This window comes from Homo sapiens, chromosome 11 (assembly GCF_000001405.40).
Source record: "Homo sapiens chromosome 11, GRCh38.p14 Primary Assembly".
NCBI classification, from domain to species: Eukaryota; Metazoa; Chordata; class Mammalia; order Primates; family Hominidae; genus Homo; species Homo sapiens.
The window spans coordinates 34,145,791-34,167,453 of NC_000011.10; the positions used below are offsets into that span (position 1 = coordinate 34,145,791).

Sequence of the window (21,663 nt, forward strand, 5' to 3'; positions counted from 1 at the left end):
AGTGTACTGCACCCTGAGGAGAACCCGGATTTCAGGTGTTAAGATCGAGATTTGTTCTTCCACAGACTAAGAGCTGGCTCAGGGCAGGAGCTGGTCTGTATGGTGTGTCCCCAGCCCCAGCACAATGCCTGCCCCCTAATAGGTTTGCAGAGAACATTAATGTCCAATTGGGTGGCCTACATCAAGTTTCAGACGGTGGAAACCCTTTTTGACAAAGCAAAGCAAGCTTAAAGCAGTCTCAGATGTTCAGATCTGTACATATTTCATTCTTTCTATTTTTGATTTTTCTCTAGTGACAAGAAAAGGAAGTTAGAGGCCAAACAAGAACCCAAACAGAGCAAGAAGTTGAAGAACAGAGAGACAAAGAACAAAAAAGATATGAAACTGAAGCGGAAGAAATAGTGAAGAGAAACTCGGGCATCTGTGTTTGATCATGGGAAGATACTCTCACTAACTGAACCCTCTCTGGCTGGACTGTTAAAAGCAACGAGAGGCCCCGGCACACCTGGAAGCTGGCCGCGAATTCGGCCTCTGGGCCTGTGTGTCTGTGAGCTCAACCTGGCTAAAGGCAGAGTCACTCCCAAATGGGTCTCTTTAGAACTTGATGGCTGGGCACTGCCATCTCTAGAATTGCCACGAGTCTCTCTCTTCCTGCCCAGTCCAGGGCCCTCCTTTCCTATAAGTTCATATTTTGCTTTGAGCCAGCTTTTTAGTCTCATTCCCACACATGTGGAAGCCACGTTGCCTCTCGACCGCCTGAGGCCCTTAAGTACATCGCTTTCTGGTGGTGCCCAGGAGGCTGCTGCTGGGCCGCTGGGTCTCTCTTTGTGGACTTGTACCTGGAGCAGGAGGAACTCCAGTCCGTCCCGGCATCCATGGCAGCCCGCGGTTAGGTGCGCCAGGGTTTGCTGATGTTGTCTTGTGCTGTTCCACTCTTGGCTCCAGCAGACCCACTGTCCCAGAAAAGCCTGATCCTGTAGTTTATGTAGAATGCCACATCTGCGTCCTCAAGACCTGTTTCATCCATTTGGGAAAAGATGTTGGGAAAGGCCACTTTGCTCGCAGGGGTGAGGGGAAGGATAGAGAATCTATTTTTAATAAATAACATTCTAGAAAGATCAGCTGCCTGTGAGTGTTCTGAAATCCACGCACCTGGACGTTTCTTCTGGTGGGTCTTGGCTGCCTGGTGGAATTTGGAAGGTGTTGGTATCAAGGTCAAAGGTGAGCAGTGTGTCTAGGGCTTCCCAGCCCAGGAGTCTGCGGGAGAAGTGGCAGGTGGCTATGGTCACCTCGAGGGGCTTGGTGTGGTGGCTGGAAGCCAGCTAGAACTGCCTCATTTCCTTCCCAGCTCCTTCCAGGTCACTTGGTCCCTTCCATTTGTTGGGAACAGAGGTAACCTGGTGGCTTTACACATACTTTGGTATGTTTGTTTAATGGTATCCAGGCTAATGAGTCTGCAGCCCCGATATGTTGTCTAGGTTCAGAGAAGGACAGGGAAGGAAACGGTAACTTCTCAGCCTAAGGGTATTTCATATACAGCTCCTAGGACTCGTCCCCACAGGGAGAAGAGCAGGTTCTGTATGCGACCCTAGGGCTGCTGAGGCTTGTCACCGAGGCTGTCAGGACATGAGCCTAGGGGTCTTTCGTTTCTTGGGACTGAAGTTTCCTGGCCACAGACCTCTGTTAGGTCTGTAGGAAATTTTGCTGGAGGCAGGGAGGGGGCATGAAAATAATTTTTATTTATTTTCTCAGGTGGGTGCCTGAACCTGCCTTTCAAAGAGGGTTTTCTTAGACCGTGGCCAGAAGCAGAGTCACATGCTCAAATGGTCAGAGCTGGATGGGACTGTGCAAGTTGTCCAGGCATATCATCCTACAGGTAAGGAAGCTTTTGTTTAGTGTCTCTACCCTCAAAGTCTCCCCGGCTGGCTCTGCTTTGGGGTGCAAGGTGAGGGCTCTGGAGGTAGACTGCTCTGCCCTGACGCTCACCGTGGCCTTGGGCAGGTTACTTCATCCTACCTGCCCTTCAGGTCCATTTCTGCAAAATTTGAGTGGTAGGAATAGCACCTCCGTCACGGGACTGTGGTGAGAAGTGGGTGGGGTAGAATGGGAAACGTTTAGAACAGTGCCTGGCACATAGCAAGTGCCTCTGGGTTCTGGGCACTCATCAGATCTAACTAGAGGAGCCGCTCAAGTTCAGTTACATGCCAGCTCTAAGAATACTCAATAAGGACTAGCTGTGGTGTTCTTTTGAAAACAGACAGGGTCTTGCTCTGTTGCCCAAGCTGGAGTGCGGTGGCTCAATCATAGCTCATTGCAGCTTTGAACTCTTGGGCTGAAGCCATTCTCCCACCTCAGCCTTCCAAGCAGCTGGGAAGGTGCTCACCACCACACCTGCCTAATTTTAAAAATTATGTACAGATGGAGTCTCAATATGTTGCCCAGGTTGGTCTGGAACTCTGGCCTCAAGTGATCCGCCTGGGCCTCCCAGAGTATAGGGATTAGAGGCATGAGCCACCACACTTGGCCAGGACTGGCCATGTTATAAAACCACAACCTAAGCTAGAAAAGGAGTCTCCCTTGGCCAGCGAAGAGCATGCATTTTGCAGTCAGACTTGTCTGGCTCTGTATAATATCTCTGTATCCTTGGACAAGGCCTCTTTATTTGCAAAGTGTGTGTTCCTAAACACACGCTTGGGTCTTTGCATTTTATGGTCATGATCTTGGGTTCTCCTTCAAACCTGAAAAGGCATGTCTCCCCCACACCTCACCATCTGGCCCCCAGACAGAGTGACATCTGTAAAGCTTGGCTGTCTTAGGAAATGTCACTTGCGAAATGAATTCAGATAGGCCAGCCATGAGTGCTGTCACCAGAAGGGGAAGAGCCTGAAGAAGCCTGAACAAAGAAGGTTACTAAATGGTCACCCCCCATACCCCCTCGCCAGGCGGGGCTAATGCCGGCCTGCTTCAGTGCTTCCACTGCTCATCTGGCCCGGAAGTCCCGGAGGACTCCGGATGACCAGGAGACGGGACACAAAGGGGGCCGCTGAGGCTGGGAGGTGGGGGAGGGGCAGAAATAAGTGACCGTCACCTTGGAAAAATGTAGACTCATTATCTGAGGCCTGTTACAACACCCGCAGCCATTCTGCAGGCCTGGAGGAGGGGGTGGGGTCGGAAGCCCCTTGGGCTGGAATAGACAATTTCAGGGGATTGCCCCTGAGGGGGCATGCCCTTGATTCTACAAACAATTGGTTCCAGTTAAACATCATCTGGATCCTGCAAAGCGGACTTGAAAGGCAGCCTGAAAGGGAGAGGCCGGGGCTTCCTGCTTGGGCTGGTTCCGTTGAGAAAGCTCTAGCCACCTGGTATCTGGCACGGGGACTAATGTGGAAAAGGATAACTGGCCTTCCAGGCCGAGAGCCTAAAGGAAAGCTTCAGGAGAAGATTTGAATGCAGGAAAGAAACCAGACAGCCTCAAAAAGGACAATCTCAGTGTTAGCCCTGTCGGTGCAGGAGCAGACTGGTACCTGCCACCTCTGGAGAGGTGTTTTCTTTGGAGACGGCTAAGGCGCCAGCTTATGCTTGCCTGTGGACCCACTGGAGCCGAGTGAAATCCCTGTAGATGCAACCCATGCTCACAGCACCTGGGTCCTCAAGGGCTCCAGTAAGAGGGTAACTCCCCCAAGCCTGCCTGTGGCTGCTCATAGCAGGCGGAGCAGGGCAGGCCGTGAGCAGTGGCCCGGAATTAGGAGGTCCAGCTGCCTGGGTAAGTGATCATTTCTGTTTGAGTCCTAGCCCCTTGGAAGCATGTCTGCTTTTTTTTGGTAATTATTTTAATTTTAAATGTTTATTCAAAAATGTATTCCTGCTACCCACAGGCTCCAAGGGGCCCGCTCCCTCCTTCCTACCTCCACTTTCTCTCAACCCCCCACTCACCCTCTCAAGAGAGGAAATGGTGGATCCCTCATCTGGAGCCAGAATGCAACTAGATCTTGCTTTCTAGGCTGGGTACGGACCAAGGCATGTCCTGCAGGGATGGGGGAACTTGTGGGGACGCTGGACACAGACCCATGAAGGGCAGCCACTTTGAATGGCAAGTGCTGGGGACGGACAGCCCGCTCCACCACCGTCTTGGGCCACTGCACAGGAAGATGGTGTGGGGGAGTGCGCCCCCTCCTAGTGGCCCCCAGAGGGCACCATGGGTCTGTGCGGCCACAGGTCCCCAGGCTGGGCCTCGAGCTGCCCTGCGCAGCTCCTGCTGGAATTGGGCTTTGCCAGGGACTGGGATCTTTATGTCGTTCCCCTAACGCCTGAGTCACGGCCGGTCACTGACCCACAGCCACTTTGGTTCAGGTTCTCAGTGACCTTAGGAATTTCTATACCTGTTTCAGGCAGGCAGGCAGGCGACTTTTTTTTTGAGAGAGAGTCTTGCTTTGTTGTCCAGGCTGAGGTGCAGGGGTGATCATAGCTCACTGCAGCCTCGAACCCCTGGGCTCTGTGATCCTCCCACCTCAGCCTCCTGAGCAGCTGGGAATACAGATGTGCACCACTATGCCCAGCTAACTGGCAGGGAATGTTTTAAAAACTTATATTTGTGCCTGAACTTTGCACCTAAAACTACAGCCATAACTCCAGTACACTCTTGGACCTGAGTCGGCGCCTCACCATCTCCCTCCATTACCTCTGCTAGTGGCCTTGTGGTGGTACAGCCAGCTTAGCTTAGCTGGGCCTGGGGGCAGCAGTCACCCAGGGATAGGTCCCTCAAATCAATCAGGCCAGGTCAGGCCTGGGTGAAGGAGGCCCTGCTGCCACTTTGGTGGGCTGTGCCATTTGGGGATGTGCCTCTGAAGACAACCCCCAAAATAGCTCCCACATAAAGGGCCGTGGAGGGGATGGGAGTGGAGATCAGGAAAGCCTGATAGTGTCATATTCCTCAGTCATTTGGTGTCTGTCCAGCTCAGTGGCACACATGTGCTTAATTAAATGTGAGCGTGGGCGGGTGAGGAATGGATCCAGGCTTCGTTTCTGGAGAGAGGCGAGTGCTGGGTGGCCACAGCAATGGCTTTGGTAGGGTCTTGGCTCTGAGAGGGGGGAGACCTGAGTAACAGCGTTAGCTCTGGGATCTCTTCCTGGTCCTAAGGGGCTCCTCCCCAGTTCTGAACTCTGAGTAACCCTCTACCAGGAGCAGTGAGGCCAAGGTCATTGTTAATGAGTGTTTATTGTTAATAAAACCATAGTACATTTACAGTAAGTGACAACATTATTGTACAGTTAAAGTATCATACAATATTACAGCAATAAAATAATGCCTATTTCTTTGTACATCCAGCCAAGCAGCTAGTCAAAATATTTTCCAGAATTGCAAGCCCCTGGGGGCTTTTCAGGGTGACCTGAGTGCCACCTTCTGAAATGCCTGGGGCTTTTGGTGAATAAATAGTTTTTAAGGTGCGGCCAGACAGCTGAAGAAGTTGCACCCAGACAGACTGTGCCTGATGCTGCCCCAGTGTCTGGTCCATAAATATGACAGGTGTCAGGGGAGCCCAGGGCCTGCAGAATTCGAGGGCAAGGCCGTGAGGGGACACAGCAGAAAGGCCTCTTCTCCTGGCCCTTACCTTCCATCAATGCCCTGTCCTTTAATCTCCAAGAGTCACAGTCCCCAGTGGGACCTGTTTGCCCAGCTCTCAATCCTACATTAAAGGAGCCGAGAGACTTGACCAGGGGACTCTGCTTCATCGCCCCCACAAAGGCAACCTAGTCTAGGCCTGAGGTTCCAGAATCCACCCATTTACTTTGGCCCCTAAAACCAGCAGCAAAACAAGAGCTGAGGCCATTCCTACACAGCACCCCATCCCCTACCCCTTGCCCCTCCATGCCAGACTTAGCTCAGAAACCATCAAGCTGGGGAACTGCCCTCTGCTGCTAACTGAGCAAGCTGGTAGTCCTGATGGGAGGGACTCTGGAAGCCCAGGCACCAAAGACAATGGGGGAACTCCGGGTGGCAGCAGTCGTGGTGGCAGGGGGGGGTCCACAGGCCACTGGATGCCCACATTAAGCCTGTCAAACCTTTGAAGAACAAGTTTGGGGATTTGGGCAGCCTTTGCTATGTGACATTTAGGAAGAAAAATACCAGCTTTTGAATTACTGCAGACGACTGGGGGCCTAGGCAGTATGCATTCTATACATTCATAAGGATTCCTGTACCCCCAGGAGCCCCAGTTGGGATGGTCTGAGTTTACTGAGGCCCTAGGGGTGAGTAGAGCTTGGAGGGCCTGGGCGGAGGTGGATCAGGATCAGCTGCTGACCTGCAGGAGGGGAGAGCGACACCCCGGGGGAGTGCATGGCTGCCCTTGAGTTGCAAACTGAGATGGGGAGGAGGGCCACCAGTTAGCTACATCTCCCCTTTGCCCATCAGTGATTGAACAAACAGCTCTAGGGCAGAGGAGATGAGGGTGAGCTGCCCGGTGACAGGGGGGACATCTGGGGGAGGAGGAGGAAACAGCCCCGTGAACCTGGCTCCAAGAGGGCCTACAACCATACCCCGACATGGTGGGCCCTGGCACCTCCACAGGCCCTGGCCTCGGCAGCCTCCGCCCCCTGCCTCACACCCGGGAGGTGATGTAGACAGAGTGCACGCGCTCTGCCAGGGTGTTCTGCAGGTCCTGCAGTGGATCCAGGCCCTGCACTTTGCTGCTGCGGCCGTAGATGAGCTGCCGGAAGGCATCCTGCTCCAGTAGGGCCTTCATGTGCTTGAGGAAGAAGCCCTCACAGAACAGGGCCAGTTCTGGGGCATTGTGGATCTGTAGGGCAGAGAGAGGAGGGGTGAAGCCCATCGCCTTAGTACAGCCCCACTCACCCTCACCCCCAAATACTACCTACCCATGGCCACAGCCCTGATTAAGCCCCACTCTGGCCAGGGTAGGCGTTCCCTGTCCCTGCATCCTGAGGCCACCTCTGCTATATCTGAACTGTTCAGCCCCCGTCATTTTCCTGCCTGTGTCATACTGTCATGCTGCCCTGTTAAGTGGCAGTCATCCCTGTTGGGTTGGAAGTTCCCTTCCTAAGGGTGGGAACGGGGACTGTCCACCACTGGGTGTCCAGGGCTCAGCACCAGGCCTGGCATGTGACTGTGCACATGGTAAATGCTGGATAAAGATGTTCACTCAACACATATCAAGGGGCCGCTCTGGGTTTTCAGTTCTGAGGTCAAGATCTCTGCAGTGCTGCTGATGTCCTAGTTTGGGAGAGACAGACAGAATCTGAGGAACCAAAGACAAGGTAACTGCAGAAGACTGTGAAGGAGGTAAAGCCAACGTGACAGGATGGCTTGTGAGAGGCCAGGGGAGGCCTGGGGACACCAGTTGTGAAGATGAAGGGCGGGAAAGAGCTTTACAGGAAAAGGGAAGTGTCACAAAAGTCCTGGGGTCTGGGCACGCTGAGAAGGAAGCATGGCAGAGTGAGGGGAGATGTGGGCAGGACCTTGGGGGCCTTGGAAGGCATGATAAGGGCTGGCTATTATTTAGCCTGCAGTAGGTGGAAAACCTTTGGTGGGATTAAGTATGGGAGTAACACAGTCTTTGTACTTTTTTGGGGGGCGGGGGTTGTGTTGAGACAAAGTCTTGCTCTTGCCCAAGCTGGAGTGCGCATGATCACAGCTCACTACAGTCTCAACCTCCCGGGCTCAACTGATCTTCCTGCCTCAGCCTCCTGAGCAACTGGGACCACAGATGCACGCCACCACACTCAGCTAGTTTGTAGAGGCAGGTTCTTGCCATGTTTCACAGGCTGGTCTAAACTCCTGGTCCTGCCTCATCCTCCCAAAGTACTGGGATTACAGGTGTGAGCCACTGTGCCTGGCCATGGTTTTTGAACTTTTGAAAGAAGCTTGTGGATTGCAGGGCTAAAGCCAGGAAGTAGGGAGGCTGGGCTGATGCCATTGTCCAAGAGAGTGATGGTGGTGGCTTAGGGCAAGGCGAGGGCAGTGGAGATGAAGGGAAGTGGAGAAACCGCTGGTGTGTTTCAGAGGTGGGTGGCTTGCATATGGGAGGGTTTTTGCAAATCAAATATGATTCCTGAGTTTTGAGTCTGAGCAACTGAGCAGTGACCATGTTGATTGTTGAGATGGGACAGCTAGGGAGGCACAGACAGGTAGGGGAGAAAAGTAAATACCTATGGCTTTGATTTGACTCAGAGGCTCAGCAACTTGTCCAGCTACCACAGCCCAGGTGGCAGAGCTGGAATGTGAACTAGGGTGCAGCTGGCTCAAAAGCTCACCTCCCAAGCTACCACATGGCCAGTGGGCAGCAGTGACCCCAGGCAACACAGGGAGTTGCTAACCCTCCCTCAGCCTCTACACTGCCCTCAGAAGCAGCCTGGTCACCTGCATCTCCTAGCTCATCCCCAGTGCAGCCACACGGCCGAGGCCCCCGTGGAGCAGAGCATGTGGTGGGAGGTGGCCAGCAGGCATCCTTGGCCCTCACCTTGGCATATTTGTAGGTGTTCACGGCACTCTCCATGCTGAGGGTCTGGGAGCACAGGATCTCGCAGTGCCTCTGCAGGGCATCCAGCTGGAACAGGCTGGCAGCTGACAGCAGCTGGTAGGGAGGCAGAGCAGGTCTTGGGGACCCATGGCCAGACCAGTGGCCCAGACAGCACCGAACAGAAAGCTCCCGAGTGCCGTGTGCCCTGCTGCCTCCACCCTCAGGCCCCACTACCTTCTGATACTCCTGGGCCTAACCATCCCCGCTGGGACACGCACTGAGGCTGGGCTCAGTGGTGTGCACAGTTCCTCTTTCTGGGAACTGCTCTTCCTGTCAGATGGAGAGGAAGAGCCACCTTCCCTCTGAAGGGGGTGAATGGGAGACCGAGCCGCTGGGCACCCTAGCCCAGGCCCCCTCCCCCTCTCCCGAGTCTCACCTCCAGGATGTCAGTGGTGGGGATCTCCATGGATTCTGTTCCTCCGTAGTACAGATACTGCATCATCATCTGTGGTGGGAAGAGGCCCATGTGAATGCCACGTGAACCTGAGGCATGAAAGTCCTTGCCAGCCCCACAGGGTACTGCTCCAGCTGCCGCCTCCAGGGGCCTGTCCCTCTGCAGGTCCCCAGCTCTGTCTCTCCCTCCCTCTCCTGCTCAGGCTGAGACTTGTGTTTTCCCGGGGAAGCCAACTCCAAGACCCTCTCTCCTGAGTCCCTGCCCGGATAACAGGCTCTCTCCTTGGAATGTTTTCCCTACAATCCTCATGAGAACACGGTGAGCCCAGGAGGGAAGTTCCTATTCACAGCTGGGGAAACTGAGACCCAGGGAAGGAAGATGACTTGGCTCAAGTCCTTCAGCTCCCCTGATGCCTGCAGCAGGGCTCTCGCATCATGCCTGGCCCCGTGTGGCTCATTGCTGGTGTGATCTAAATTCTACACAGGGAGTAGCAGTGGGAGGGTCTCTGAAGGGATGTTGGAGGACGCTGCCTCCTGCCTTCCCCTGTTTGCACAAGGACTCCAATGTGGAGGTGAGTGCCCCATCTGGGCTCTGTCTCAGGTGTGCTTCCTCAAAAAGAAAGCGCAGAGCCCAGGCCCGGAGGCCCGGAGGCCCGGAGCTCCCCTCGACAGGCTGAGCCCTGCCTTGGGCTCCCAGATGAGGTGGTCCAGGACCGGGAACGATTTAGTTCTGCTGAGGTTTCAGTTACAAACTCTGCCATCACGCTGGAGCCTAGTGAGGTTCCCAGTTGGAAAAAGAAAAACAATTCTTTCTGGCTGGCTGAAGAAACGGCTCCAGCAAGGAGCTGGCAAGTGTGTAAGTAAACACAGCTCCAGCCGGCACAGTCGGGCTCTGTCAAGACCGGCCCTGAGGCTGCAGAGGCACCAGAGGGTCTAGGAGAAGGCCCAACTGTGGGGAGAGAAGTGGGGAGACAGGCCTGCCAGCCTTGTTCAGGCATCAGGAGATGTTGGCCAAGGCCCACCCTGGAGATGTCAGCCTCTTCCCACCTCTAGAGGTCTGGGAAGCTCCCACGGCCTTCTGCAGCCCCTGCTGGAGCCTGGGTGGTGAGCTCATGATTGCACAGTAAGTGTCCGTCTGCTCCCTCCAGATAGTGTGTGCCTTGGGCAGGCCATGCCCAGGTCCCTCTGCCCTCCCCATGCAGGGCACTGAGTGAGTGCTCAGTAAGGTGAGGCACCAGCAGGAGCAGTGCCTGGAATGCCCCTCATACAGGGTTGGGGTTAGAGCACCAGGCAGGCAGGTCAGATCTTCCTGTTGGGATTCTTTGCTAAGGGATGGCCTCAGGGCAGCCCCTAGGGCCAGGCCTACCAGCCACCTTAGGCTGCAGCTCCCTTCCTGGCCTGGAAGGCTACCTCCTGCTGCATTTTAGGATTTGGTTTTGGCAAGGCCCAGTCTTGGCATCCGTGGCACATGGATCTCCCTGAGGCCACTTGAATGCATATGAGGCCACAGAAGTCAGATCAGAACGGCTCACCTGGAGCCTTGCTATGGGAGCTGGGCAGCCAGCAGGCAGAGGTGGGTGAATTTTGCACAGCCTGGCAGTCCCTAGCAGGATACAGGTCATGTGCCTCCTGGAGCCAGGCAGCCTGTGGGGCTAGAGGCTGCTTGAGGAAAGGCCCCAGACAGGACCACCTGTAGAAGGGCAGCAGGGTTTCCTTCTGTCCTGAGTGGGCCACTTGGAAGCTGATACTGCAGAAACCATGTGGGAAGGGCAGGGTTGGGGCCCTCTGGGCTATATGCTCAGTAACTTTTTTTTTTTTTTTTTGAGACAGAGTTTCGCTCTTGTCGCCCAGGCTGGAGTGCAGTGGCGCAATCTCGGCTCACCGCAACCTCCACCTCCTGGGTTCGAGCGATCCTCCTGCCTCAGCCTCCCAAGTAGCTGGGATTATGCAGCATGCACCACCACGCCCAGCTAATTTTGTATTTTTAGTAGAGATACGGTTTCTACATGTTGGTCAGGCTGGTCTCGAACTCCCAACCTCAGGTGATCTGCCCACCTCGGCCTCCAAAAGTGCTGGGATTACAGGCGTGAGCCACCGTGCCCGGCTGTGAGTAACTTTTTACATTGATTACATGTTGAAATAATATTTTGGCTATACTGTAAGTTCAAAAATATTAAAATCAATTTCACCTGCTCTTTATTTTTTATGTGACTAGTAGTAAATTTTTAATTACAATGTATGCCTCACACTGTATCCGACAGTACTGTCTAGATGTCCTTGGGCCTCTGTTTCCTCCTCCAGAAAACAAAATAATGATCCACACACCCCCACCCCACCCCGCCTGCATGAGAGTCAATGCGGTATTTAGGGGCTGCTGGAAAACTTGCAGGCTTTGTTAGGGAGCCCTGACCCCAGACTGATGGCTTCAGGCTGACCCCTCCAGGGAGGCCCGGAAAGTCGGAGCTGAGGTCTGGAAGCCCCATCTGAAATGATGCCCTGGATATGGCAAAATTCTGTACCCAGGAGACCCACGGGGCAAGGCCAGTGCCCTGGGCCTAGTTAGAACAGTCGGCCAGAACTTGGCAAGAGGCCCAGGGGAAGGCATGTGTGTGCTGTGGACCTGAAGCCTGTCCCCTATTTGCCCTCCCAGCAACCCCGGGAGGTGCCAAGGGGCTGCTGAGCCTGTTCTATGACAGATGCCCTCCCTTGGCCTGGCAGGTGAGCACAGGCGACTGAGCCCGCACAGGTCCCCTTACAGGCAGTGGTCACCCATGGCCACAAGTGCGCTCCCCAGTCTCCAGCGATCCCTGTAGCCCCTCTAGGACCTGCCTCCTGCCTGATCTGAGCATGACTCCACCTCCTGCTCCCACTCACCTGGACATGTTCCTAAAGCTGCCCATTCTCCAGTGAGTTGGATTAAGGGGTGAGAAAAGAGGGAAGGGGAGACGCCACCTGGCTTATGCCAGACCCTGGGCCTCCCCTCCTCCCACATCCGTCAGTTACCAAGTTCCAAGTCCCATCCACTCTTCCCTGGTCCATTTCCCTCCATCCCCCCAGCCACTGCCAATCCAGGTCACCACTGTCACTCAGTTGGATTCCTCAGCAGCCCCTAACTGGTCCCCTGGAGGTGGCCATGCCCCCTTCCATCCCTTCTTACCGCTGCAAATGCAAACTTGGCTGTTTTGCACATCCTGGGTTTGAATTCTGTCTCCATCACTTCCCAGCTATGTGACCTTGAGCAAGTTACTCAACCTCTCCATGCCTCTGACTCCTCTACCAAGAGGGGATAATAACATACCTACCTCCCTGGAACTGTGCTGTGAGGCCTCAATGGAAACCAAGCAAAGCACTTAGAACCCTGCCTGCCTAAGTGTTAGTAATGGTGAGTTCCTCCTACTGCTTAAAACCTTTTAGAGGCTGGGCGCAGTGGCTCACGCCTGTAATCCCAGCACTTTGGGAGGCCAAGGCGGGTGGATCACAAGGTTAGAAGATCGAGACCATCCTGGCTAACATGGTAAATCCCATCTCTATTAAAAATACAAAAAATTAGCTGGGTGTGGTGGCGGGCGCCTGTAGTCCCAGCTACTCGGGAGGGTGAGGCAGGAGAATGGCGTGAACCCGGGAGGTGGAGCTTGCAGTGAGCCGAGATCATGCCACTGCACTCCAGCCTGGGCGACAGTGAGACTCCGTGTCAAAAAAAACAAAAAAAAGCCATTTTAGAGGTGGCCCCATGTGCTTCTGTGAGACTCTGGGGTTTGCAATCTCTCCTATTATATCACAAACCACTCCTGTGCAGGGCAAGGCCCTAGACCCACCTGCCAGCTGCCTCCTGGCCTCAGTCCCAGCCCATAAGGGTCAGCTCTTGCAGCCCTGAGCCCACCACACAGCCTGGAGACCTGCAGTTGCTACTTTCTAGAAAGCTCCTCTCAGTGGGGTTCAGCTGAGATCCCAGCCAGGTCTTCCTCTGGACCTTGTCTGCCCTGACTGGAGTTTCTAGTATGTAACCTTGTATGTTCTGCAAAGCTTAAAGCCCGAAAGACCTGACTTTGATCTACAGTCAGGATGTGTGCCTCACGGCCACGTGTTTGACCAATGTGGCCGGGGTTTGATGCTTGGGAGAAGTGACGCAGCCTCCACCAGCACTTCCTAAACTGCACTGAGCACATGGCCACCTGGGGAGCTTGTGAAGATGCAGGAGGGCTGGGGTGGGGCCTGGGGCTCTGCATTTCCAACAAGCTCTCAGTAATGCCCATTGGCTGGGAGCCCACCCTGATAACAAGGACTCACACCCCAGCTGTGTGGCTTGTATCTGTCCTTGCACGTCTGTCTGCAGGCTGCCCAGACCACCTGTCCAGCGGTTAGAGCTCAGGACCCATGTGACAGGCTCTGAAGCTGCAGCCCCACAACGGATGGCTACCTCTGCACAGGGAAAGACCTGGATGCTCTATTCATTCAACAGAATACAGAAGGCACTGGGAATAGAGTGAACAATGACAACCAATGCACAGCTGCCCACAAGGTGGGCTCCTGGGGGAGGGTCATCCCTCTGAGAAGAGGGCGGCACCAAGACCCACACACCTGAAAAATGTGGTACTTCATGTCGCTGATCTCGATGGTCTTGCTGCTGTCCCCATCCTGTTCTGATTTATTGGTCATTAGTGTCTTGAACCTGGAGCAAAGGAGACAAAGCAAGGTGGGTTTTGAACCTTTTACTTCACCACTGTGTGGCGATGGCACCATCTGTCACCTGACCGGCTACCACAAGACGGAACATTTTAAAAATTACTGCTGTGCTCCTAAAATAATTTTCAGCAAGTGCCATTTTACACCATCTTAGGAAGACATCTGAGCTGAGCCCAATTCTGTCCCCACCACCCACCCTACAAGCGACCTGACGCCTGTGGCCAGAATGCTGACTCTTCATTCCAGGATATTTATGTTTTCTAATAATAAAAGCAATAACTAGGCCAGAAAGAACACCACCTCAGAGCCCCCCTTTCCTGCTGCCCTGGGTCCACCCCGTCTCATCCCGCTGTGGGGCGAGTGGGGCTCTGCTGCAATGTGACTGCAGTCTGAGGGGCAGAGGCTGCAGGGTACAGCCCCAGCGAGTCACTCTCTGTCACCTGGAATCTGAAACAAGGTGCTTCTGTGCCCCTGGGCTGGGAGTTTGTTATCTGAGGCTGCCTACCTGTTAGAAGCTGTCACCAGCAGGACTTTATGTGCATAAAACAGCTTTCCTTCCACCAGGAAGGTCACATCTGACATCTCCTTATTGTTCAAAAAGTGTGGATCTGTGAAAAGCGGGGAGACAGAGGGATATGGCTGAGGAGTCCCCTGCTGGGGTTTGCTTGAGTGTGCTGTGAGGTGCGTGTCTGGGGTTGGGGGTGGGACACAGAGGTGAGGAACAGAGAAACTGAGGCTGGGGCCTTGGCGCTTGGAAATGGAGAAAGATGACAAAGTGGGGAGGAAGCAGGAAAGGGAAGAGGGGGAGGACGTGTGGTGATGCAGGGCGCAGGGGGCGCGCCTTCACCTAGCCTGGCCGGCAGGGTCTTCCGGATCTCTGGGATGCTGGGGATGGGACTGCTGCCATAGCAGTGGGTGAAGATGGTAGCCAGTTGCTGGATGACGGAGTCGTTCTGTGGGGAGAGGAGAGAGGGCCTGTGAGCTGCCCGCTGTGGCTGGCTGTTCACAGATGCAGATACGTCAGGCTAATTTCAAAAGTCCAGGCCAGGAGTAGTGCAGCCGCTATCTTTTGTTCCTGCTGGATGTGGCTTGGCAAGAGATGCCTGTTCCTTCATCAGTGATTCCCGAAATGGCTTTTTTGGTCAGGTTCCAGCCCATGGCCCCTGCCCTCTACAGCCAGGCAGCGCAAGTCTAAGTCTGGGTGCTGTGTGTGTGTGTGTTGGGTGGGGGGGTTCCTGGGTGCTGGGGGCGAGCGTGCACGCGCGCGCGTGTGTGTGTGTATGTGTGTGTTGAGTGGGGGGGGGGGCCTGGGTGCTGGGGGCGGGCGTGTGTGTGTGTTGGGTGGGGGGGTCCCTGGGTGCTGAGGGCAGGCGTGTGAGTGTGTGTGCGTTGGGTGAGGGGGTCCCTGTGTCTGTCCACGTGTCTGCCTGTGTGTCCATCTGTGTGTCCCGTGGTCTGAGTCTGGGCCGTGGGCTTGGGAACTGGCCACTGGCCACACTTACTTTGCTGGTCTTGAGGATGTCGAACATGAGCTGCAAGCCCTCGGTCACCAGCTCCTCGTTGTACTCCTCCTCTCTGATGGAGCTGAAGTCCCGCAGGAGGCTCTGCACCACCGAGTACCGCGACTGCGAGAACGAGGTCCTCAGAGACTCGATCCAGATGTGCAGCTTCCAGGGGACTCCTGGTCCAGGCAGGGAAGGGCAGGCAGTCACGCACCACAGCTGAGCGCTCCCGGCACAGACCACAGCCTTTTCTGGGCAGACTCTCTCGGGATGCCCCCGCTGTCTGCAGAGCACCCCGCCCGCCCCCTCCCGCCTGCCCCCTTCCTGGGCATGGAGTGGCCCTCTCAGGATGGCCATAGAATGAAAGCTTTAATTCATTCTAATAGGTCTTGCTGGCAGGTCAGAGTGGAGTTTCAGGTTCTCATGAGATGAGGTGGAGGAATGGCTTCGGCCCAAATGCAGGGAACTCAAGCTCTGAAAGTTGACCGCCCAGCCTGGGGATTTGGAAGTATGGGCCCAGCACCCAAAGTAGCCTTGTTGCTTAGTGGGCTCAAGAATTACTTGCTAGAGAGGTCTCATTAGTTGTGGAGGGGTGGCCAGGAGGGCTTGGATGGCCAGAGAATATGCCAGGCACTCAAGGACACACAGGCCTCCTTGTCTGCACGGAAGCTTGAAACGAACCCGGTCCTATCACGAGGGGCTCTCCAGCACACAGAGCACTGGAAAGCCGCTGCACATCCCCAGGCACATAATGACTGTTTTACAGTTCCCCAGCATGTGTCAGTGGGGCTGTAACTTAACATTGCTGTGGGAAGTTCATGACATAAACTAGTCCTGTCCCTGGTAATTAGAGAGACAGCTTCTTACCCCAACCTCACTGTGGATCAAAGAACTGACGGCATTCCCCAGCGACACATTGACAGTAGTGTGGTGTGTTAGTATCCTTGGGTTATTGACTGCAGGTGGGAGTGACGTCTCTGTTTTACGGTGAAGAACACTGAGGCTGACTCACTGCTGTCTTGGCCCGGCCCTGGGGGTTTGTGGCCTTGTGATGACAGTGACGGTGCTGTCATCCACCAAGTGCTCACGGTGGCCACTACGCCTTGTACTTCAGGTGATGTCACCTCATTCTTAGATAAGGATCATTAGCACCAAAGCCACAGAGGTGGGAGTTGAGGCTTGGAGAGAGGACGTGGTATGCAGCTAACACAGGACCTGACCTAAGTCTGTCTGACTAGCCTCCCTGGAGGACACCAAAAGTCCACAGACTCGCAGACCCAAGGAGTGCAAGGTCAGCCGAGTGACAGGACTGCCGCCTCACAGCGTGGAGTCCCGGGGCTTCAGAGGCTCCCAGTGCTCGACATCCCTGGGCTGTGACTGGGGAGGGGGCAGCGAAGCTCCAGCCAGGCAGGGTGGAGGGCCCGAGGGCAGGGGACTGGGCCATGACCCCAAGACGTGGCACTGTTGAGCACTGTCTGAGGCCCAGGGCCCCTCCTGAACTGGCCGTGTAGCAGGGGGGTCCCAGCCTCCACCCAGTCTGTGCTCAGCTGCCCTGGGGCTTGTCTGTCCCTGCAGGCCCTGGCCCTCTCAGGCCTGCTGAAGAGCAGCAGGGAGTGACCGTGTGTGTCCATATGCATGCATGGACATGGGTGTGCATGCCCGTGAGGCCTCACCCAGTGCCCTCAGCTCCATGGTGATGTCCACGTAGCCGTGCTCAGCGCTGTAGTACATGGCCTCCTGTAGGGCCTTGGTGCGGGTCCGGCTCAGCCGCACGGGCCCCTCGCTGCCACTGCCCTGGCTCGACGCATCACTTTCCTCCACACCCTCGGCCAGGATCTCCTCCAGGGACAGCACGTCCGCTTTAGCCTGCTGTGGCTGCGTCAGGAGCTTCCTCAGGACGTTCCTGCAGGCCCAGGGATGAATGAAGGTGAGGGCTGAAGTCCCACAGGCAGTGCCCACCTGAGCTGTCCCCCAGTGCCCTCCTGCCCCGACGGGCTGCTCTGGGGTACCCGAGGGCTCGGAGTTTCATGGTCTTCCTCCTCCAGGCAGGCCAGGGGTCCCAGGGTCACCAATCCCCATATACCTCTGAGAGGCAGGGCAGGGTGCAGGGGAACCCACCCTTCTACCATCCCCGTATTGCAGAGAAGCCATAGGCTTCGGGGCTGAGCGAGCTCTGCCATCCTGGCTGTGTGACCTTAGCCAGGTCACTCTACCTCTCTGAGCCCTGACTGCTTTGGGATATATTACAGGGTGTCACTATATCACACTTTCCTGGGGCTTATGTGAGGCTGATGTAAAGGGTTTAAATGCAGAGCCTGAAACACAGCAGGTCTTTCTAAATAGCAGCTGACTATGCACGTGAAAGTGTCTAAAACACAGGAAGAGCCCAGTAAGTACTCATTTGGTCCCTTCATGTTGATAAGGATGAACTGAAGACGGATGTCATGTAGAATGTATTCATATTTATGAATGAAGACACAGAATGTTAGACCCCACAGAGGACGCTCCCCCGTGCTGCTGCTTTTAGCCTCGTGAGAGCCCAGACACATCACCGTCATAGGCGATGGATCCATCTTGCTCAAGGCCACTCCAGGTGGGGGTACAGACCCAGGACTTCTGGCTCCAAGACCCAGGCTCATTCTGTCACCTCCTGTGGCCTGGGGCTCTGGGATGGATGCAGCATGGGTGGTGCTGCAAGGTTCCTGGGGGCTGACCTGCTCCACGGCTACCCCGCAGATCCTCCTCCTACCTGCCAAGCCCATGGCCTGGAGGTGCCCTTCCAAGGACCCAAGGTCCCTCCCAAGGGCTCCTCCTCACGTGTGGACTTGCTAGTTCAGGCAGTTTACAGAGCACCTTGTTTGGGCCAGGCGCTGGCATGTGAAGGTGAACTAGCCACGGTGACTGTCCCAAGGGTCCTGTGCTCAGAGTGACAGGCAGATGAGCAGGCAGGCAGTCTCCACGCAGGGTGAAGAGGCCTCCATGGGGGATGCAGGCACTGGGTGGGGTGGAGCGGCCTAGAGGTGGTGATGTGAAAGATGGCGCCTGGAGGGTGAGGGTGGCTGGGGTGGGTGAATGTGGGGGTGGGCTGGAGACAGCTGGAGAGAAAAGCATTCTAGGGGAGGGGACCCCAGCCAGAACATGAGGCTGGTGGCAAGAATGGTGTCGGGGAACTGGAAGTAAGTGTCCTGCCTGCCAGCCCTGCTTATCCAGCCCCGCTTTTCCAGCCCCGTTTCTGCCCTGTAATAAGCCCTTGTCTGGTCTCCCTTTGCCCCTCCGTGCTGTCCCTGACTTCAGCCTGCTGCTGTCCCGCCACACCCCTGGGCAGGCCTGGTCCCCACAAAGCAAGCTCTACCATCTGCACCTGGGGCAGGGTGCAATTTTGCACCAGAAGCCTCTGCACAGCTGAGCCGTATGCTATTTGGACGTCCAAGGCCACTTGGGCACTGGAGGACCACCAGCAGGCATGGGAAGCAATGTGGTCCTGAGTGGGCTCTGGCAGCTGCAGAGTGGCATCTCACTGGGAAATGGGACGGTCTGCCCTGGGCGTCGGGAGGCCCAGGCTCCAGTCCCAGGTCTGCCAGGAATCAGCTGTGGGGCCTCCCCCATCTCTGGGCCCTGTGCAGGCTAAACTCCCCCATGTTTCTGGTTTACTAGCACACAGGCCCCCTGTTTTGGGAAAGGTCTCCGGGCCTAGCTCTTTTGCTCCCATCGGGGAAACTGAGGCTCCTGTGAGCTTAGTTCAGTGCCCTCATGTCACACAGGGTGGGAATCCCGGGCAGGTACCTGTGGCCGTGGGCAGCTGAGTGGCTGAAGCAGTTCATGTCCTCGTGGAGGGAGGAGCCCATGCCGTGGGCCTCCAGCATGCTGAGGAGGGGGTCGGCGCCTCGGCTCAGCAACAAACTGACCAGCTCATAGTTCCCTGAAAGAGAAGGTGGGCAGCACGGAGGACACTGAGACAGTAGCCGCCAGGGCAGCTGAGGCGAAAGGGAAGGGAGAGCAGGATTCTCGCAGCTCTGAGTGCTGGAATAAGTCAGTAAACCCCACACTCATCTGCATTTGGTGGACGAAGTGAAGGGAGAGGAAGAAGGCTGGCCGTGCCCTGCCCCTGCTCCCCCTCCCTGGGTCTCCAGAGGGAAGGGCCTCCCTGCCCTGCTGGGTCCTGCCAGATGCTGAGCCCAACAGAAACTGATGGGTGGGGCCAGGGGAAGCCCCCAGTGGTCCAGAGAAGGGGTTTTAAGGCCCCTGCATGGGGTCCGTGTGTGCTAAAGAGACCCCTGCACGTCCAGCTACATGCCTGGCCAGGCTGGGGGGCACTGCAGGGAAGGGTAGACAGAGCCTCCGGGTAGCAGGTGCCTACCTGCCGCAGAGGCCAGCTGCAGGGGCGTCTCCGCATAGCTGTCCTCGCCGCCGTTCACTGCCGAGCCCTCGACATGGGCACCAGCATCCAGCAGCAACTGCCAGGGGCACAGAGGAGGAGGGCACTGCTCAGCGTGGCAGGGAGCACCTGGGAAGGGCCAGGGTGCTTTCGGGGACAGGGCCTTTGCTTCTCTCCAGGCATGTGACCAAGACACAGTTCACCCCAGCAGCTGAGGAACTGGAACTTTAGAACTCCAGGTTATCCTCAGGGCTCAAAGTTTCTAGAATCTTCAACTCCATTATTGTGGTCCAAGACCAAGCCCCTAAGCTGTGAGGACCTCTGAGCTTTTTCCGTCTTTCAAATGCTTTCCCATGAACTGACTGCAGCCACCTTTCTGAGAACACATGTGGATGAGCAGCACAGAAAATGTTGCCCGCAATCTATGGTAAACCATGGCTCTGGGTGGCAGCACGTGTTGGAGTCAGAAGGAGCAGGGTGTCAGTGCTGGCCACTGGCCAATGAGTAACCCCGAGCAGGTACTTCAACTCCCAGAGCCTCAGTCTTCCTCATTCACAGAATGGGAAGAGGGGCTTGCTTCCCTTAGGCTTCTTGTCGGAGAGGTACAGCAGGTACCCCAGGAAGGCAGGTGGTGGGGCTGAAGCAGGAAGTCCCAGTCTAGGACAGCAGAGGGCCTCTCCCCATGCTAGCAAGGGCGGGCTTTGACAGGGGACAGACGGGGCAGGGTTAACAGATACCAGGCAGTTCCAGATGAGCCGGTCCTGGCTCTGCCTTGGGGCAGGGGTGGGGCCTGCATTACTCCAACTGGTGACTTTCAGCTCCCTTTCCACCTTCCCTGACCAGCTGCTCTGGAGGGAGCAACCTTCCAGCCCTCCCAGGCTCCTGAAGACCAAAGCTTCCTCCAAGCATGCATGGCAGTCTAGGGGAGCCCAACCGCCCTTCCCCTGGATACCAGGAGTGGAGTTCAGGCTGACCTCTCAGTCCCATGGACTGTGGCATGGAGGACAGACATCACTGGAGATGCAGCAGTCAGAAATCAGTCACTCCCTGTACCAGTGCCAAGGCCGTGGAGGCGGGGGCCTGCTCACTGGGGCAAAACTAGGCACGGATCCAGGCAAGCTCAGGGCACAGCCCTGCAGGCCCAGTCTGAACTGAGGTTGGGATTTTGCTCCGGTTCTTATAAGGCAAAGGCGGCAGGATGTGGTGGCCAGTGGGTAACAGCCACTCGCTGAGTCCTTGTGATAGGCTAGGGCTGTGAATCAGCCAGACACAATCCCTGCCCTCAGAGGTCTTGCAACCTAGTGGGGAGCGAGGGTGTCACGCTAACTCCCTGGAAGGGGTGCCATGAAACCCTGCGCATGCCAGCGATCTGAGGACCTGGGAGTAAGTGCACGTGGCTGGAGCCCCTGCTGGCATGGGGAGCTGCTCTGCCCACAGCTTCTGCTTCTAGAACCACCACTGTCCCCACGCCAGCACAGCTACCTGAGCTGAGGTGGGCAACCTGTGGCTTGGCTCGACGGGTGAGCCATGCCAATCCGAAACCTCTCTCAGGAACTAAGGAGGGGACAGAATTGCACAGACCCCATGATATAGAGTTGGCCCTGTAGTAGAATTCACGAGGGAGGAGAAAAGGGAAGGGTCGGAAAGGCGGCTGTAGGCGAGAAAGCTGAGTGGGACTGGGACAGCCCCCAGTGTGCCCGACACGAGAGAGAGAGAGATGCCGGGAGGGCATGACAGGACCCTAGTGCTGCCTGGACCTGGGTCTTGTTTCCTAAAATTCCATTTGTCCTTGCACTAACCCCTTTCCTTGAGGCAACTCAGGTGGGCTGCTGCTCTATCGATCAGGTGAGCTGGCCTCAAGCAGTGCCTTTGGGATCTCTGATTCAGGGCACCTGCCCACTCAGCTGAGGCTGGGGCTGTGCTTGGGGCCCAGGTCACCTGGTAAGCTGGGGGGCATGGTGTTCACCTGGCAGGAGCTCACCTGGACCACAGAGATGTGTCCATGCAGCACAGCGAATGTCAGTGAGGTCCAGTGCCGGCTGTCGGGGTGGATGGAAGGGTGCCTGGGGGAGTTGCTTGGAACCTGGAAAATACCACAAATCATCTGTGTTTTCTGGGCACCCGAGCGAAGGGAGTACCCTGCAGGGATGGTGAACCAGAGTTAACAAGTGCTTTC

The 21,663-nt window shown here is 55.9% G+C and overlaps 2 protein-coding genes across 3 annotated transcripts in view, besides 6 other annotated features; one reads left to right on the forward strand and one right to left on the reverse strand.

Annotated features, from left to right (window-relative positions):
- Positions 1-1,118, forward strand: part of NAT10 (N-acetyltransferase 10) — a 41,280-nt gene extending 40,162 nt beyond the window's left edge. For both annotated transcript variants that reach the window (NM_024662.3, NM_001144030.2), the window contains one exon: positions 294-1,118. In NM_024662.3, coding sequence (NP_078938.3) covers positions 294-402 — 109 coding nt within the window. In that variant the 3' untranslated portion in view covers positions 403-1,118. The remainder of the gene's footprint in view (positions 1-293) is intronic.
- Positions 4,130-4,659: an enhancer, noted in NCBI's record as "H3K4me1 hESC enhancer chr11:34171467-34171996 (GRCh37/hg19 assembly coordinates)". NCBI's record gives its function as "activates a minimal SCP1, AML or CMV promoter by ChIP-STARR-seq in primed H9 embryonic stem cells {active_cell/tissue: H9 hESC(primed)}" and the evidence as "EXISTENCE:reporter gene assay evidence [ECO:0000049][PMID:30033119]".
- The window catches only part of ABTB2 (ankyrin repeat and BTB domain containing 2), a 207,024-nt gene continuing 190,557 nt past the window's right edge, over positions 5,197-21,663 (reverse strand). Inside the window, exons 7-17 of the mRNA NM_145804.3 lie at positions 21,469-21,570; positions 19,470-19,566; positions 18,896-19,031; positions 16,786-17,015; positions 15,113-15,291; positions 14,458-14,563; positions 14,116-14,218; positions 13,506-13,596; positions 8,911-8,979; positions 8,475-8,588; positions 5,197-6,794 (exon numbers count right to left, since the gene is read on the reverse strand). Coding sequence (NP_665803.2) covers positions 6,597-6,794; positions 8,475-8,588; positions 8,911-8,979; positions 13,506-13,596; positions 14,116-14,218; positions 14,458-14,563; positions 15,113-15,291; positions 16,786-17,015; positions 18,896-19,031; positions 19,470-19,566; positions 21,469-21,570 — 1,425 coding nt within the window. The 3' untranslated portion in view covers positions 5,197-6,596. The remainder of the gene's footprint in view (positions 6,795-8,474; positions 8,589-8,910; positions 8,980-13,505; positions 13,597-14,115; positions 14,219-14,457; positions 14,564-15,112; positions 15,292-16,785; positions 17,016-18,895; positions 19,032-19,469; positions 19,567-21,468; positions 21,571-21,663) is intronic.
- Positions 8,534-8,583: an enhancer, noted in NCBI's record as "active region_4595". NCBI's record gives its function as "activates an Ori minimal core promoter by ATAC-STARR-seq in GM12878 lymphoblastoid cells {active_cell/tissue: GM12878}" and the evidence as "EXISTENCE:reporter gene assay evidence [ECO:0000049][PMID:35858748]".
- Positions 9,124-9,173: an enhancer, noted in NCBI's record as "active region_4596". NCBI's record gives its function as "activates an Ori minimal core promoter by ATAC-STARR-seq in GM12878 lymphoblastoid cells {active_cell/tissue: GM12878}" and the evidence as "EXISTENCE:reporter gene assay evidence [ECO:0000049][PMID:35858748]".
- Positions 9,766-10,267: an enhancer, noted in NCBI's record as "H3K4me1 hESC enhancer chr11:34177103-34177604 (GRCh37/hg19 assembly coordinates)". NCBI's record gives its function as "activates a minimal SCP1, AML or CMV promoter by ChIP-STARR-seq in primed H9 embryonic stem cells {active_cell/tissue: H9 hESC(primed)}" and the evidence as "EXISTENCE:reporter gene assay evidence [ECO:0000049][PMID:30033119]".
- Positions 13,973-14,473: an enhancer, noted in NCBI's record as "H3K4me1 hESC enhancer chr11:34181310-34181810 (GRCh37/hg19 assembly coordinates)". NCBI's record gives its function as "activates a minimal SCP1, AML or CMV promoter by ChIP-STARR-seq in naive H9 embryonic stem cells {active_cell/tissue: H9 hESC(naive)}" and the evidence as "EXISTENCE:reporter gene assay evidence [ECO:0000049][PMID:30033119]".
- Positions 14,474-14,974: an enhancer, noted in NCBI's record as "H3K4me1 hESC enhancer chr11:34181811-34182311 (GRCh37/hg19 assembly coordinates)". NCBI's record gives its function as "activates a minimal SCP1, AML or CMV promoter by ChIP-STARR-seq in naive H9 embryonic stem cells {active_cell/tissue: H9 hESC(naive)}" and the evidence as "EXISTENCE:reporter gene assay evidence [ECO:0000049][PMID:30033119]".